Below are 16,719 nucleotides of genomic sequence, written 5' to 3'. Positions count from 1 at the left end.
TGTGGATTGTGTGTCTGGTTCAGCATTTACACTGAAAACTTGAACACATGACTTAACTTTGTTTGCCTCAGTTTCCAGGTAATGATAACATCTTTGAGGGAAAATCAATGTTTTTATTTTAAAAGATGGGAGGTTATTGGAGGAGTTAATAGAGAACTCTTGGCAAAGGAAAAGGCTGTGGGTTGACAATATTTGACAATAACTAACCTTGAGATAAAAATATAGGCAGACATCTATAAAGATTAATGTGTTCTTTATGTGCTACTTATGAAAAATGACCTGAATACTAAGGTGATGATAAAGATTTGTTGTTCAAGAGAGAATGGAACTCTAGAGACAGAGTTTCACAGAGCAATTACTCTAATGCTGACATTAATATCGGAAGAAAGTTGTTTTCTTCCATAGCAAAGGTAACACTCTACTGATTTTCAACATAAAAATCCCTCTGACCTCTATTTGTAAGGTTCCTCATAGCATGAAACTCAAACATGTAAGGAACTGACTTTCAATTTCAATCACTTCATGCATATTCAGCTGGACTGGCATGTGGCCCACATTAACCTGGTTATTACTAAAAGCAGAATGTTCTTCTTTAAGGGACCAAGTCTTCAGTCCTGAAGCTCAACAAAACCAACTGAGCCTTGAAAATGCCAAACACATCACCCATAAACTATAAATCAGACCAGGCATCAGAATCTGAGGTTCAGTAATTAACATTTTTTCCCTCTTAGGAAGGATACATGTCACAAGCATGTAACTGCCGGCAAGGTGGAGAGAGTACATACGATTTACAGCAAAAATAAGAAAAATAAGAAAAAAATCTTAAAAAAAAAAAAACATCATGAAGTATGTAGGCCTGTTTTCTTTATTTCTGTGCCCACTTGTGCTTGATTCCAAAAGCCATGTTGACACTAGAAAACTGATTTTATGACTCCAAATTTTCCTTTCCTCCTTTATTTATTTATTTATTTATTTATTTACTCATTTATTTTTTTGTGAGATGGAGTTTTGTTCTTGTTGCCCAGACTGGAGTGCAATGGCATGATCTCGGCTCACTGCAACCTCTGCCTCCCAGGTTCAAGCGATTCTCCTGCCTTAGCCTCCCAAGTAGCTGGGATTACAGGCAAGCGTCACCATGCCCAGCTAGTTTGTTTTGTTTTGTTTTGTTTTGTTTGTAGAGACAGAGTTTCTCCTTGTTGGTCAGGCTGGTCTCGAACTCCTGACCTCAGGTGATCCACCCGCCTTGGTCTCCCAAAGTGCTGGGATTACAGGCGTCAGCCACCATGCCTGGCCACTTTCCTCCATTTTTAAAGTGTACTCTGACGTTCTTCAAATTTTCCGAATCATAAAAATCATTAGATACAATTTATAAATATATGAACTCTTGGAGTCATCTGAAGAGAGACATTTTTAGTTCAGACTATAGATAAGGCAGTGACTCTCAACAGATGTTTTACAATCTCCTCCCAGTGCTATATCACAGTCAGAACCCAAAATATGAGTAAAAAGCACAGGTTTGAAATATCACACCTAGTCCATACAAAAAGAAACTTTAGAGTCCAGGTAACAATTACATACCGAACAGTTTAGGAAACAGAGTGAGGAATTAAGAAATGTATCAGGAGATATTTAACAACTAGTGGCTGACACACGACTGGACAGAAGAAATACGATTCTTTCAATGACTTGGTTAAGGCACCTAACTTGTTATTAGGATTATCTAGGTCAATTATCTGGGTACTCTTAGGCATGTCTTGACTCCCTAAACTTTTAATTAGCAATTGCATTCAATATTATAATACTTGAAGTGAAACAGGCAGATAGAGAATATTTCTTATAATATTCTATTTTAGCCTATGTTATTCCTTTCTGGATATATTCATCATGACATTAACTCACTGATATGTGGTAACTATTAGAAAGAAAGTGATTAACTCATCCTGACATTGAATAAAAGATAGCCAGCTGAATAATAAAATCGCATTTGGCTGCATTGGAAATACAGTATAACAAAGGATATCAATTAAATCCCAAACTATATCATTAATGATTGTTCTGTTTTGGAGAGAGAGTAGAGGAAAAAATTTTCCAGAGACTCATATTAAGCTATGTAGGCGAGGGTTTTAATTGTTATATATAACTGCATAACTACTTTTTAAAATATAAGCCATGATAGTCGGGCGCAGTGGCTTACACCTGTAATCCCAGCACTTTGGGAGGCCAAGACAGGCGGATCACCTGAGGTCAGGAGTTTGAGACCAGCCTGGCCAGCGTGGTGCAACCCAGTCTCTACTAAAAATACAAAAAACTTAGCCAGGTGTGGTGGCACTTGCATGTAGTCCCAGCTACTCAGGAGGCTGAGGCATGAGAATCACTTGAACCCAGGTGGCGGAGGTTGCAGTGAACCAAGATCAGGCCACTGCACTCCAGCCTGGGTGACAAAGTGAGACTTTGTCTCAATAAAAAGAGAAAGAAAGAGAGAGAGAGAGAAAGAGAGAAAGAGAAAGAAAGAGAAAGAAAGAAAGAAAGAAAGAAAGAAAGAGAAAGAAAGAGAGAAAGAAAGAAAGAAAGAGAGAGAGAAAGAAAGAAAGAAAGAAAGAAGGGGCGCCATGATGACAATCAATCAAGGAAGGAAACGAAAGCATCAGGGACAAGATAAAAATTTTTAAATGTTGTAGTTAGTCTCTTTTAACTGTGCATCATTTTCTTAGGCTATCTGTAGGAAAATAATAATTGTTCTAATTCCTAAAGAGCTCATTTTTTTCTTGCCCTTGTCCTTCATTTTCAATATTTTTTACAGTTATGTTCTAACTATCTAGAAATGATTTACATGAAATGGGTATCATGCCTCTTGATGCACAAACAAAATGACCTGATTAGGTCATAGGAAAAAAAAATAGAGTATTTTGTACAAGTGTGTCTGCTAATGAAATATGACACCAAGATACCAAATTAATTAACCATCCAACCAGCCAACCAACCAACATAACAAAGACTTTATCACTTCAAGAGCACCTCAAAAGCACACCAAGGTCTATAATGGAATAACTAAAAGATTTTCAAATACAGGGCATAATTCCTCAATGAGTACTACTTTTTCAACATTCCACTAGTTATGCTCAAGAAAATGCACATATTTCTACTACTGAAAACTGTTCTCAGCTGTCAATACTGAGTATATGATGGTAGACAATCTCATCTACCAGTTCTTTTGCCTTATAAGTGGTTTTGAATACACTATGAATAACAGAATATGCACATAATAAAATATATTGTTTTACATATCAGTTGTCACACTATTCCATTTGCATAAATACAGATGGGGCACAAGTGGTGAGATTCAGTGACTTCAGCATTCTCTAGAAATGCTGAATAAAAATTCTCACAAAGCTGCTGGTCTCTAGAAATGCTGAATAAAAATTCTCACAAAGCTGCTGGTTAGCTAAGAGAAAGAAAATGATTTTAAATATTGGTGTTTTGTAGGCATCGGTTTAGAAGATTTAAAATCTAAAGGGCTTTCTAAATTTCTAGATCTGCAGATTGATCTAGTCAGTGCTGTCTAATAGAATGCAAGCTACAATTATAGTTATAAATTTTCTAGCAGTCACATTAAAACTGAAAATAAACAGCTGTAATTTATTTTAATAATATATTTTATTTAATGTAACATATCTAAAATATTGTTATTTCAAAATGTAGCACTAGCCATGCTACCAGTGCTCAATAGCTATTTGAGGCTAAAAGCTACCAAATGAACTAGCACAAAACTAGACTTTGAATGAAAACTTTGAATTAATTTAATTTTTTATTTAAGTCCTAGTTCAAGTTAGAACATTTACTTATGATTTATTCTGAACTGCAAATCTATTTAGTAAGTCAATGCAAACCAAAAAATATATTTTTTAAATAATTAAATTAAAATATCATCTTGGTTTATAAAACTGTTATAGTTATTTTAAGACCAGAACTCAAATATTAAATGTATATATTTTTCTTACTCATTTACCCAGTTAAAAACCTATATGAATTTAAAAAGAAAAACTGGATAAAACAGAACATTTAGAATTCAAATACTTTGAAAATTATAATTTTATGAACAATGAAAACAGGAATCAAAATTAATTATATCAACCATGAACACAGTTATACTCCCAGTGTTTTTTTAGACATGCCCTGAATATCATCACTAGTTTAAAATAATCAACTGAGGTTTGTATAATATTAGAAACCAGGAATATTCTTTATTTCTCAAACATGGCTTAACAATTTTTTTCCAATAGTTTCTCTAAAACATGAAAACTCATGTGACTCAATTTTTTGCCTGTTCATCCACATATCATATTACATTAAAATTAGCAAAAATTTTGAAGTCAGAGGGAGATGCCTTTTAATCTAACTTTTATTTGGCCTATCATTGGGATCAGAGCAATGTCAGCATCAAGTAGACAATATTATCTTCCCCATGAATTGACTGAAAGGATTACATGATAGAATATATTTTAAATGACAAATGAATACATAGTCCTTATTTGAGAATGGCAGCTTTAACGTAGACTTTGATTGAGATATTTTAAGTGGTAGGTATATATCTCAGCATAAAACAGCTTAAAAGTAAAGTTAGTTGCAAAAGAAGATTCTAAACGTAGTCACATTTCTGCTCTTTCACAACTTAGCCTCTCAAAATTGCAACCTACAATAAAAGACAATGCTTTTTACTCTTAGACTGAACCTAAGATAAAAAGCTTACAAAAACTGGGGTAAATTGGCATGGTGAACACAGTTTAATATTAGACCAGTATGTCTTTGAATTCTAGAGAAACATGAATACTAGAAAAGGATGAGAAAATGAGTTTCTGAAATATCAAGTAAATGAAAACTATCAATGATCTTTGAATACAATAGTCATTTTTGTTTTTTTGGCCACTTCTGTGGACAAAATGTTGTGTCCTCTCCATCCAAATTTATATGTTAAAACCCTAATCCCCAATGTGATGATATTTGGATATGGGGCCTTTGAGAGATAATTAGATCATAAAGCTGGAAGCCCTTATGATGGGATTAGTGCCCTTATAAGAGAAACAAGAAAGTGTGCTTATTCTCTGATCTCTGTTATGTGAAGATCCAATGAGAAGACTGCATCTGAAAACCAAAAGGCAGACCCTCTCCAGATACCAGATCTTCCAGAACCTTGACCTCAGACTTCCCAGCCTGCAGAACTATGAGAAATAAATGTCTGGTACTTAAGCTACCCATCTGTGGTAATTTGTTATAGCACCCCCAATTGACTAAAACAGACAACTGGCATCAGTTAATTCTATTTCTCCTAAAAATGTCTAATATTGTTTTGGAATATAGTTTTCTTTCACTCTTTGTCAATGTGTTTAGAAGGAATCTGGCTCTTCTCAGATGCCAGGGATACCATGTCAGAGGCTTGATTATGCTATGGTGGCAATGACTGATACAATGGCTATGTAACTACTCAGAGCTAATAAGCATCATGCAATGTTTGATAACAAATCTGGAACAGAAGCAAACATTATTTCTGGCTGCACTTTCATCTGGAAAGACGTGGGACATTACTGGAGCAATTTTGCCACCACAGAGAATATCTGTCTTAAGTGTGACCAAAATGATGGAAAAAGAAACCAAGAAAAATAAATAAAGATATGTATTATTAAGTCACAATGGGAGCTAGAACTACCTGGGAACTTTCTGACTATATGAACCATTTAAGTCGTTTTCCTTAAGACATTTTGGGAAAGTATTTAAATCACTTGCAAACACAATTTAAATTAACGCAGGAAGACTAAGAATTGACTTTAATTTTTCCCGTTTGCATTCTTATCCTTTCTATTAACTACAGTACACAACTAATCTGACTGTCTAGTTCATGCTCTTCAATAGTGAGTTTTAGTTTTATCTCTGAAGATCAAGCTATTGACCTTAAACACTTAAATACAATAAAACATCATGCTTTTATTTACTTATTTGCTATAGATTACTTCTCAACTGATAGCCAAAACCAAATGTACACCTTTTGCTAATAGCATTCCCATCAGCAATAGATTACATTTGTTACAATGTCCTACTCAATAACAGTAACAATAACACATATTCCCCTAGTCTAAGAAACCAGATCCTTTTCTATATTTACTGTAGAACAAAAGCTTTATACCACTTGCAAAATAGCAGCAAATACTTCTACCCTCAGGAGAAATAGAAGAAAAAAAATCCTAAGGGAAGGCCTGAAATACATTCTGGGCACAGATTATTAAATAAGTTTATACTGATAAAAGAACAGTAGGATTTTCATATTGGGTTCTACCCTCAAAACTCATGACATACTTTCCTACCTAAGGCTGATAGTAAAACAGAAAAATGAAAAATGTCATCCTCCCTTTCTGCCAACACTAGGCTAGAAAGTGTTGAGTAATACAAAACAGTCTACAGCCAGGGGGAATTATAAGAGTGTGGAAAGAACGACCTTCTCTGAGACAGAAGTGCACATGGGAGATCTGAATTTGAGAGTGGATGAGACATCGAGAGAAACTACCTGACAGACCAGCCCACCCTTTAAACATAAGGTAAATCAGAGAGTTTGGAAGCCTGTGGTGAACTGAGAGTGACCAGAAGCAGCAAACCAGAAACTCAGTGTCTTAATTTATTTTCTGCTGCTATAATAGGGTACCACAGCCTGGATAACTTATAACAAATAGAAGTTTATTTGGCTCATGCTCCTGGGGTCTGGGAAATTCAAGAACATGACACCAGAATCTGGTGGGGTTTGTTCCATTGTGGAAGGCATCACATGGTGAATGAGCATGTAAGACAGAGAGAAAAGTGAAGCCAAATTCATGCTTTTATCAAGAGCACACTTTCTCAATAATGGCATTAATTCACTTATAAAAGTGGAGCCCTTGTGACCTAATCATCTCTTAAAGGTCCCACTTCTCCACACTGTTAAAATGGCAATTAAATTTCAACATCAATGTTGGCGGGAACATTCAAACCATAGCACTCAGCACCTGAATATTGGCACAACTCCCTATAATAAAGGGCTTACCAAAAAAAAGGTAATTTCTGGATAAAGTATATAAACAATTTAATAAGTTTCTACTACTGTACTGAAGATATATGGCTTCTAACCAAAATTATAAGATACACAAAGATGCAAGTAAAATAAATAATACACTGTCAAAAGATAAAACAATAGAACTAAGCTTATATATGACACATATATTTAACATATTAATCATCTGTATATTAAAATTCCCACCTGTGAAATTTAATATATAGATGATTACTATGTTAAAGAATCTAGTGGACAAGTTGGGACATATGCATGATTAGATGGGAAATGGCAGCAGAATGAAATAAAAGAATATAATATAATATAAGAAAGAAGGAAATAAAAGTGCTAGAAATAAAGCAAAAAGAACAAAGCTGTAGGCATCATATTACCCAACTTTAAACTACACTGTAAGGCTGCAGTAACCAAAATGGCATGGGACTGGTACAGAAACAGACACATAGACCAATGGAACACGTAAAAGAAAACAAAAATAAAGCTGCACAACTATAATCTTGTGACAAAGTCAACAAAAACAAGCAATGGGGAAAGGACTCCCTTTTTAATAAATGGTGCTGGGATAAGTGGCAAGACATTTGGAGAAGAATGAAACTGTACCCTTTCTTTACCACATACAAAAACCAACTCAAGATGGATTAAAGAGTTAAATGAAAACCCTGAAACTATAAAAATCCTGGAAAATAACCTAGGAAATACTATTCTGGACATAGAAACTGGAAAAGATTGTATGAAAATACCAAAAGCAATTGCAACAAAAATGAAAATTGACAAGTGAGATTTAATTAAACTGAAGAGTTTCTGCACAGTGAAAGAAACTATTCACACACAAACAACCTACAGACTGGAGAAAGTATTTATAATTTATGCATCTGACAAAGTTCTAATATCCAGAATCTATAAGGAACTTAAACAAATCAACAAGTAAAAACAAATAACCATATTAAAAATTAAGCAAAGGACATGAACAAACACTTTTTGAAAGAAAAAACACAAATGGCTAACAAACATGAAAATACGCTCAACATCACTAATCATTAGAGAAAAGCAAATATAACAATGAGATGGTAAAGAGGTTTAATTGATTCACAGTTATGCATGGCTGGAGAGGTCTCAGGAAACTTACAATCATGGTGAAAGGCAAAAGGGAAGCAGGTACCTTCTTCCAGTCATCTCATACCAGTCAGAATGGCTATTACTAAAAAGTCAAAAAATAACTGCTGCTGGTGAGTTTGCAGAGAAAAGTGAACGCTTATACACTGTTGGTAAGAATGTAATTGAGTTCAGACACTGTGGGAGGCAATTTAGTGATTTTTCAAAGAACCTGAAAGAACTACCATTTGACCCAGCAATCCCATTATTCATTATATACCCAAAAGATTATAAATTGTTCAACCATAAAGACAGAGGAACACGTCTGTTCATCACAACACTATTCCCAATAGCAAAGTCGTGGAATCAACCTAAATGCCCATCATCAGGAGACTAAACAAAGAAAATGTGGTACATACATACCATGGACTACTAAACAGCCATAAAATAGAATGAGATTATGTCCTTTGCAGCATCATGGATATAGCTGGAGGCCATAACCTTTGATATGTTTGGCTTTGTGTTGCCACCCACTTCTCATCTTGAATTGCAATTCCCCAGGTGTTAAGGGAGGGTCCTGGTGGGAGATTATTGGATCATGGGGGTGGTTTTCTTCCATGATGTTCTCGTGATAGTGAGCGAGTTCTCATGAGATCTGATGATTTTACAAGTGAGGGTTTCCCCTGTTGGTTCTTTCTTGCAGCGCTGTGAAGAAGGTGCCTGCTTCCCTTTTGCCTTCCACCATGATTGTAAGTTTCCTGAGAACTCTCCAGCCATGCATAACTGTGAATCAATTAAACCCCTTTCCTTTATAAGTTACCCAGTCTCAGATATGCTTCATAGCAGCATGAAAATGGACTAAAACAATCCTAAATGAACTAATGTAGAAACGGAAAACCAAATACTGGATGTTCTCACTTATGAGGGAAACTGAACACTGAGTACACATGCACACAACAAAGGGAACAAACCAAGGTCTACTTGAGGGTGGAGGATGGGAGGAGGGAGAGGACTAAAAAAACTACCTGTTGGGTACTATGCTTATTACCTGGGTGATGAAATAATCTATATGCCAAACTCCTGTGACACACAATTTACCCATAAAACAAACCTGTACATGTACCCCAAACCTAAAATAAACAATTTATAAAAAAGAAATTAAAAAAAAGAAATGCTGGAAATGGAAAAAATAAAAAACAGAAATATAAATTGCCACTGATTGGTAGTAGATTCGATATCACCATTAAAAAAATGGTAAGCTTGAAGATAGGTTAGTGGAAATTACTCAAATTAAAATACAAAGAGAAGAAGTATTAGGAAAAAAGTTTGGAGCAATATAAAATATTCTAACGTATGTGTAACTGAACACCCAAAAGCAAGAGAGTTAGAGTGGGGTAAAATATAGCAAGATACATAAAATGAATAAAGGAATAGAGAAGTATTTTAAGAAGCCTCTCAATCCATTGAAACACTAACAAGCAAGGTTTTCTATATTTAAGTTGCTTCATTTTCTGTATGTTGCAATAAGATTCAATTTTGGAAATGAGTAAAAGTTTGGCTTCTTATTTTAAATTTCAATAAACCTAAGGTGCACACTTTTTTCACACTTTAACATCTCTGGAATTGGGCAGACTGTAGACCAAACGGAATGTCATTAATTTAATTGTTCATGAAAATACAAAATAATGGTATATCTTTCAATTGATGGTATCTCAGATTGGATGCAATATGTTAATTACTCTACTTTGACAAACAAGTTGTGATAAAGGAACATGTGCCTTTGTCAAAAGGTTTACAGGCTAAAACACGGTAACATTGTGACTGCTGTGCTCTGCTGTCTGTCATCCCATGAGACACTACTAATTACCTAGTGGCAACTATTAAATGGAAAGAACACATTCAGTATGGGAATGAGACCTTTACTATGTCACCAGAGTATTTCAAGCAAGATGCCAGGGAACTGTAAGTTAAAAATACAAATTAGCATTTAAGTAAGTGCTAGGTCAGGACTCTTAATAGAACTTCCCTCAATGATATAAATGTTCAGTGTGTGCTGCCCTATATCGTAGCCATAGCCATAGGCGACTAGAGCACTTGAGACATGGCTAGTACAACTGACAGACTGAATATATAATTTTATTTAATGTGAATGTAAATATGAATGGCCACATGTGACTAGTGGCGATGTGTTGAACAGCAAAAGCTTAGACATGGGGTTTGAGCATTTTTAAGATTAGGATGGAAAGATCAGGCATTAGGTTGCCCTAATGCACTGCTCTGAAAATACTAGTGCTACTTTGACATCCTTGGTCCTGCATCATGAACCCAGTTGGGGTAAGAGAGAAACAATTAAGAATGTAATAAGCACAGGAGGTGGTGAGCTCAGCAGCTAAATACCAACTGTCTTTCCTTTCTCACATTCTACTGACAAGCTTCCAGATTTTTCTTGAGAAAAGCATTTCCTTGCTTGACAGAGAAATCCCCAGTACTTGCCCCCATTTTATTATTAGTTTTTTTTTTCTCAATATAGTACTAGGAACAATAAAAAAGTGGGAGATATACATTAAGCATTATTGTTAATTATAGTTTCTAAATATTACAACAACTGATAGTGAGAATAATAATAAAATTCAGGACCTTAACCCATATCCATACTTAGATTTTCCAGAGGATAAAAATTTTCCCTGCTGATGAACCAAAAATTTGAAAAATTTGTAATCAATATTTGATAGTATTTTATAACATTGGTAATTATTTGTAATTCTTAAGTATACTTTTTTGGTACCTTATGTATTATATTCATTAGTATACAATTTGGGCAAATTGAAAATGTTTTTCAGTATAAAGTTATTAGTGAATTCCAATTATTTCCAAAGTCTCTTAACATATTTAAATTGTAAGAAGTAGGCAGTAATTTAAATTCTAGTAAAATGAAATGACTTACCAAACTTAATTTAAATGTCTAATTTTAATATCATCACTGATATAAAGTGTGAATGTAGATAAATACATATATGTATGTAATATTATTATTATTATTATTATTATTGAGATGGAGTCTCGCTCTGTCACACAGGCTGGAGTGCAATGGCACGATCTCGGCTCACTGCAACCTCTGCCTCCCGGGTTCAAGCAATTCTCCTGCCTCAGCCTCCCGAGTAGCTGGGATTGCAGGTGCACGCCACCACACCCGGCTAATTTTTGTATTTTGAGTGGAGACGGGTTTTCACCATGTTGATCAGGCTGCTCTGGACCTCCCGACCTCGTGATCCGCCTGCCTCAGCCTCCCAAAGTGCTGGGATTACAGGCGTGAGCCACCGCGCCCAGCCTGTATGTATTATATGTAGATATAAGAAGCCTTCTTCATATGATTGTGTGATTTGTTCTCTACACAAAACAACTCAGCTTAGAGAATAAGAGGTGGCCGAATGTCAATCTATACTCTGGCTATATTCTTGCACAGGGCTGTATTCTACCAGAATACAGCAAGCCACTGAGCCTTTGCTAAGCAGTTCGCCTATGGACATAAGTGCCCAGAAGGAACAACTTTTTATAAAGTGTCTATGTACCTTTTAAAGATGTCTTCCTTGACAGAAAAAAGTCAAGACTAGCGCAATGAAAAGTTGTGCAAGGAAAACAGACCCGAATACCATGAAACAATGGAATGCATATGCATTAGGCACACAAGAACAGTAGTGACATTTAATTATTGGTTTTCATTTGATCTTATTATACATTGCTGAAGAATATAGGCATCAAGAATAAGAAGTCATCTTTTAAATATGAAATATATATCCTTGGCTCAAGAATTTTAAAAAATACTGAGAAGAACAAAAAGAAATTTAAAACATTGCATTTTTTTCATTATTTTAAAATAAATAATGTAATTGGATTGTTTGTAACTCAAAGGATAAATGCTTGAGGGGATGGATGCTCAATTTTCCATGATGTGCTTATTTCACACCGCATGCTTGTATCAAAACATCTCATGTGCCCCCCAAATATATACACCTAGTATGTACCCACAAAAATTGTAAAAAAAGATAAAATAAAAAATAAAAATTTCTCTTCTCAAAACAATTCTACATGCAAGAAAAGTGAAGTGCCAAAATTTAATTGATTTGCTCAAATACAGTAAGAACACATTGGAGCCAGGACCTAAGCTAGAATTTCTTGACTTCTATATATATTACATACATCATTCTATGTTCATATATCTTCGGGTGTCCTTTAATTGAATAACAGTTTGAGGAAGGCCATACCAGAATTCTTGACTACAAGCAACAATATTGGATTTTACCTAATTAAAGCTAAAGGGAGTGTATTAAAAAAGATACTGGGTGTAACAATTTACATTTCTACCAACAGTGTACAAGGGTTTCCTTTTCTCCATATCCTTGCTAACACTTACCTTTTTTCTTTCTCATAATGACCAAGCTAACAGGTATGAGGTGATATTTCAGTGTGGTTTTGATTTGCATTTTCCTGATGATTAGTTCATTTTAGCTCCTTTTCATATACCCGTTTGCTATTTGTATGTTTCTTTTGAGAAATGTGAATTGGTATGACCATTATAGAAAACAATACAGAAGTTGCTAAAAAAAAAAAATAAAAAACAAAAATAAAAATAGAGCTATCTTATGATACAACAACCTTGATTCTTGGCACATTTTCAAAGGATACAAAATCAGGGTCCTTAAGAGATCTATGCACAACTGTGTTCATTTCAGCATTATTCACTAAGTAGCCACAATATGGAAACAACTAAAATGTCTTGCAGTGGATGGATGGATAAAGAAGGTGTGGTTTATAAATGCAACAAAATGTTAATTTTTAAAAAAGAAGAACATAATTTCATTTGCAACAAAATGGATAAACCTGAAGGTCATTAAGCTTAGTAAAATAAACCAAACACACAAAGAAAAATACTCTAGGATCTCACTTATATATGGAGACTAAAATCATCAAACATATAGAAGCAGAAAGTAGAATGGTGGTTGCCAAGGAGCTGAGGGGAGGGGGAAATGAGAAGCTCTCAGTCAGAGGGCATAAAATTTTAATTCTGTGAGATGGGTAAGTTCTAGAGACCTAATGCACAACACTATGACTATAGTTGATACTGTTTTATATACTTGAAATGTGCTAAGAGGATAGATCTTAACTATTCTTATCACACAAAAATAGATGATAGTAACTACAGGAGGTGATAGAAGTTAATAAGCTTAATTGTGGTAATTGAGTGTTTCATAATGTCCATCAAATCATTAACTTGCACATCTTAAATATATGAAATTTTAATTGTCAATTATAGCACAATAAAACTGAAGGCAAAAAATGAAAGGTGTGGGCAGCTGATAAATTTATTGGGAGAACTAAAAAACCCAGATCAGGGCTAAGCTTCTAGGAATGTTGGCTGAAACCACACCATGAAACTGGCTGTTGAAACAATAACTTCTACTCCATAGAGCCTTTATAGAAAATGTCTACCTGCTTCAGGACTACAAAAGCCACTTCTATGCTAGGAACTTCACTCACAACAACTGATGCCAGCGAAAACAAAATATCCTGTGACCATTCACCTAACAAAACTTAGAAGCACTGCAGGGAGCCTGCTTTTTCTTACTGATCAATTCCAAATCAAGTTCAGATGATTGGTAGTCTAGGTGACCGGCCTGTATCCTAACTAGTTGATTTCCATGTTGAGAACTTAGAAATACAGGAACTATAGAAAGGCTAGTCAAAGATGATGGGAAACCAATTTAATGATGTGCAAAACCAAATTAAAATATATTTCAGGCTGGTCGCGGTGGCTCACGCCTGTAATCCCAGTGCTTTGGGAGGCTGAGGCGGGTGGATCACAAGGTCAGGAGTTCAAGATCAGCCTGGCCAAGATGGTGAAACCTGGTCCCTACTAAAAATACAAAAAATTAGCTGGGTGGGGTGGTGGGCACCTGTAATCCCAGCTACTCGGGAGGCTGAGGCAGAGAATTACTTGAACCCAGGAGGCAGAGTTTGCAGTGAGCCGAGATCACGCCACTGCACTCCAGCCTGGGTGGACAGAGAAATAAAATTAGGGCCTATAATATATGAATTTTTAACTGGTTGCACATTTACTTCTGATAATGGTTATCCTTGATTTTCTCATGATGACACACTAAGTTTTTAAGAATTATCCCAGAACTCATGTTGATCCAATAATTAATCAAGAATTTGGTCTCTAAATGTGGCACAAAAAGTATATTTGTATTTTTAAGTTACACTTTGTTATTTCCAAGTATAAAGACCCTCATGATCAGAGCAAAGCAAAACAGAATAAACAAAATGTACACATCCATGCAATGCAATTAAGAAAATAAAAATTAGCAAAAAAAAAAAAAAAAAAAAAAAAGCCAGACAGAGAGAATGAAAGGAAGGAATGAGACAAGAATTATAATGGGGTCTAAGATAAGATGATAATTTTAATGGGCTATTGGATTTTAAGTAGATTAAAGAGTTGTTTTATAAGGAATTTGTATTATATGAAATAAGCAATCTGAATTTCTGTTCCAAGTGCTCTATTTTCAGGGGAGAAATCTCCATCCCCTGGAGATATTTATACAATTAAGTTTTGGACGCCAAAACAACTTTGTAACTTACTTAGCCTAAACTCCTATGTCCAGATATTTGATTTATGACTGCATTTGACAATGACTGTAGGAATGGTCATAGCAATGTGAAAAATGAAGCAAGCCTCTCTAAAAAAGTTCACCTTGATTATGTTAAACATTGAGCAGGTGAAACAGAGAGGGGGAAAAAAAGGAGCAACAATTACCATAGTTGGAGTTTATGTCAATAGATCTGTAATGTGGCTGTAAACGTAATAAACAGACATCTCATTCCATAAAGGAAGGGATTTTAACTAAATAATCCTAAGTAGTTGCCAGTTACAAATGGAAAATAACACATGAAAAATGCTGAGCATGTTGATTGTGACACAGTAGCCCTTCAATAAATTTAAGCTATTATAAAATCCTAGTACAAAGTATTTTTTAAATTTACCCCTATGCCATGGATTTATTTCCTTAGATGACATAATGATTAATCCATTTGTGGCTTCTTTGTGAGTACAAAGTGGTAAAACTAGAAGTGATGGCATACAAAAAAAGATAAATTTTAAAAATGACTCATGGCTTTTAGCACTTAGGATATGGTTAATTAATAAAAAGTCAAAACCGAAAGAAACTTGCCTGGGGCTTATAGAACTGACAAATGAAAACTGATCATTTTTTCCTTGTAATAGTTACTGACTAAACTCCTTATGCTAAGCAAAGATTAAAAAGTCTTTGGAAATTTCTCTGTATATTAGACATACAAAAACCTACCTTATTATTATAAGCATTAAGGCCATCATTTTACACCTATGGACATACCATGAAAGCACTGACTCAGTATCAAATTCATAGTCATTTGGAAAAGAGTAGCTAAATTAAATCACTGATTTGTGGCTAAATCAAAACAACAAACACATTTTATTTCTTTTCATATTTGAAGCCTTAGAGACTCGGTTGAATTGTAGCTTTTTACACATATATATTAAGGTTAACTCTATCTGGATCTTGATACCAACTGGAAATAGTTTCAATTCTAAACTTTTTTTTTTGGTCACTTTTAGTATAAATAAAAGAAAATGCACATTGTGGGAGGTGACATGAGAGGTTGGTAGGAAAATGGGGTTCTGCTAAAGGCTCACTATGTGTCTTAGTTCACTTGTGCTGCTATACCAGAATATCTGAGACTAGGTAATTTATAAAGAACAGAAATGTATTGACTTATGGTTATGGAGGTTGGGAAGTATGAGAGCATGGTGCCAGCATCTGATGCAGGCCTTCTTGCTAAGTCATCTCCTGGCTTTAGGTGGAAAGGCAAGAGAAGACAAGAGTGAGAGAGGGAAGGAGGCTGAACTTACCGTTTTATCAGGAATCTGCTCTCATGATAACTAACCCACTCAATAATAATGGCATTAATCCTGCCATTCATGAGGGCTCTGCCTCTGAAAGGTCCCACTTCTCAACACTGGTGCTTCGGGATTAAGTTTCCAACACATAAACTTTGGGGGACACTTTCAAACCAGAGAACTATACAACTTGAAAAAATTTACTCTGTGTAGTCCTTGAATTGATATAGTTTATTATAAAATGGGAGGCTGGACAAGCTTTCTTTCAGAATTAATATTCCCAGGACCCTTCATTTAGTCTCACATAAGGGAGATTAGTAGTGATTTTATTGTTGTTTTTCAGAGCTTTAGACTATCATGTATTGTAAAGAAAGAAATATTCAAATAAAAAGACATTTTTATTTGTTTAAGTCAATAGAAAGCTGCCTTCTTCAGTTATCTTTAAGATTCAGTTCTCATAGATCTAATAGATTTTTGTACCCAAGTTGAATGACAAGGTCATAGTTTCACAAACACCACATTTATTTGATTCAATCAGCATCAATTATTCCCTGGTGATTGATAACAACCAGTGCCTACCATTGGTAATAATTTATGAATGATGTTA

The 16,719-nt window shown here is 34.8% G+C and overlaps 1 protein-coding gene across 24 annotated transcripts in view; it reads right to left on the bottom strand.

Moving 5' to 3' along the window:
• DPP10 (dipeptidyl peptidase like 10) overlaps window positions 1-16,719 on the bottom strand; it is a 1,403,140-nt gene that overhangs the window by 170,558 nt on the left and 1,215,863 nt on the right.

This window comes from Homo sapiens, chromosome 2 (assembly GCF_000001405.40).
Source record: "Homo sapiens chromosome 2, GRCh38.p14 Primary Assembly".
Classification (NCBI taxonomy): Eukaryota; Metazoa; Chordata; class Mammalia; order Primates; family Hominidae; genus Homo; species Homo sapiens.
The sequence above is the reverse complement of the archived record's forward strand: the minus strand, read 5'-3'. Positions and strand labels throughout refer to the sequence as shown.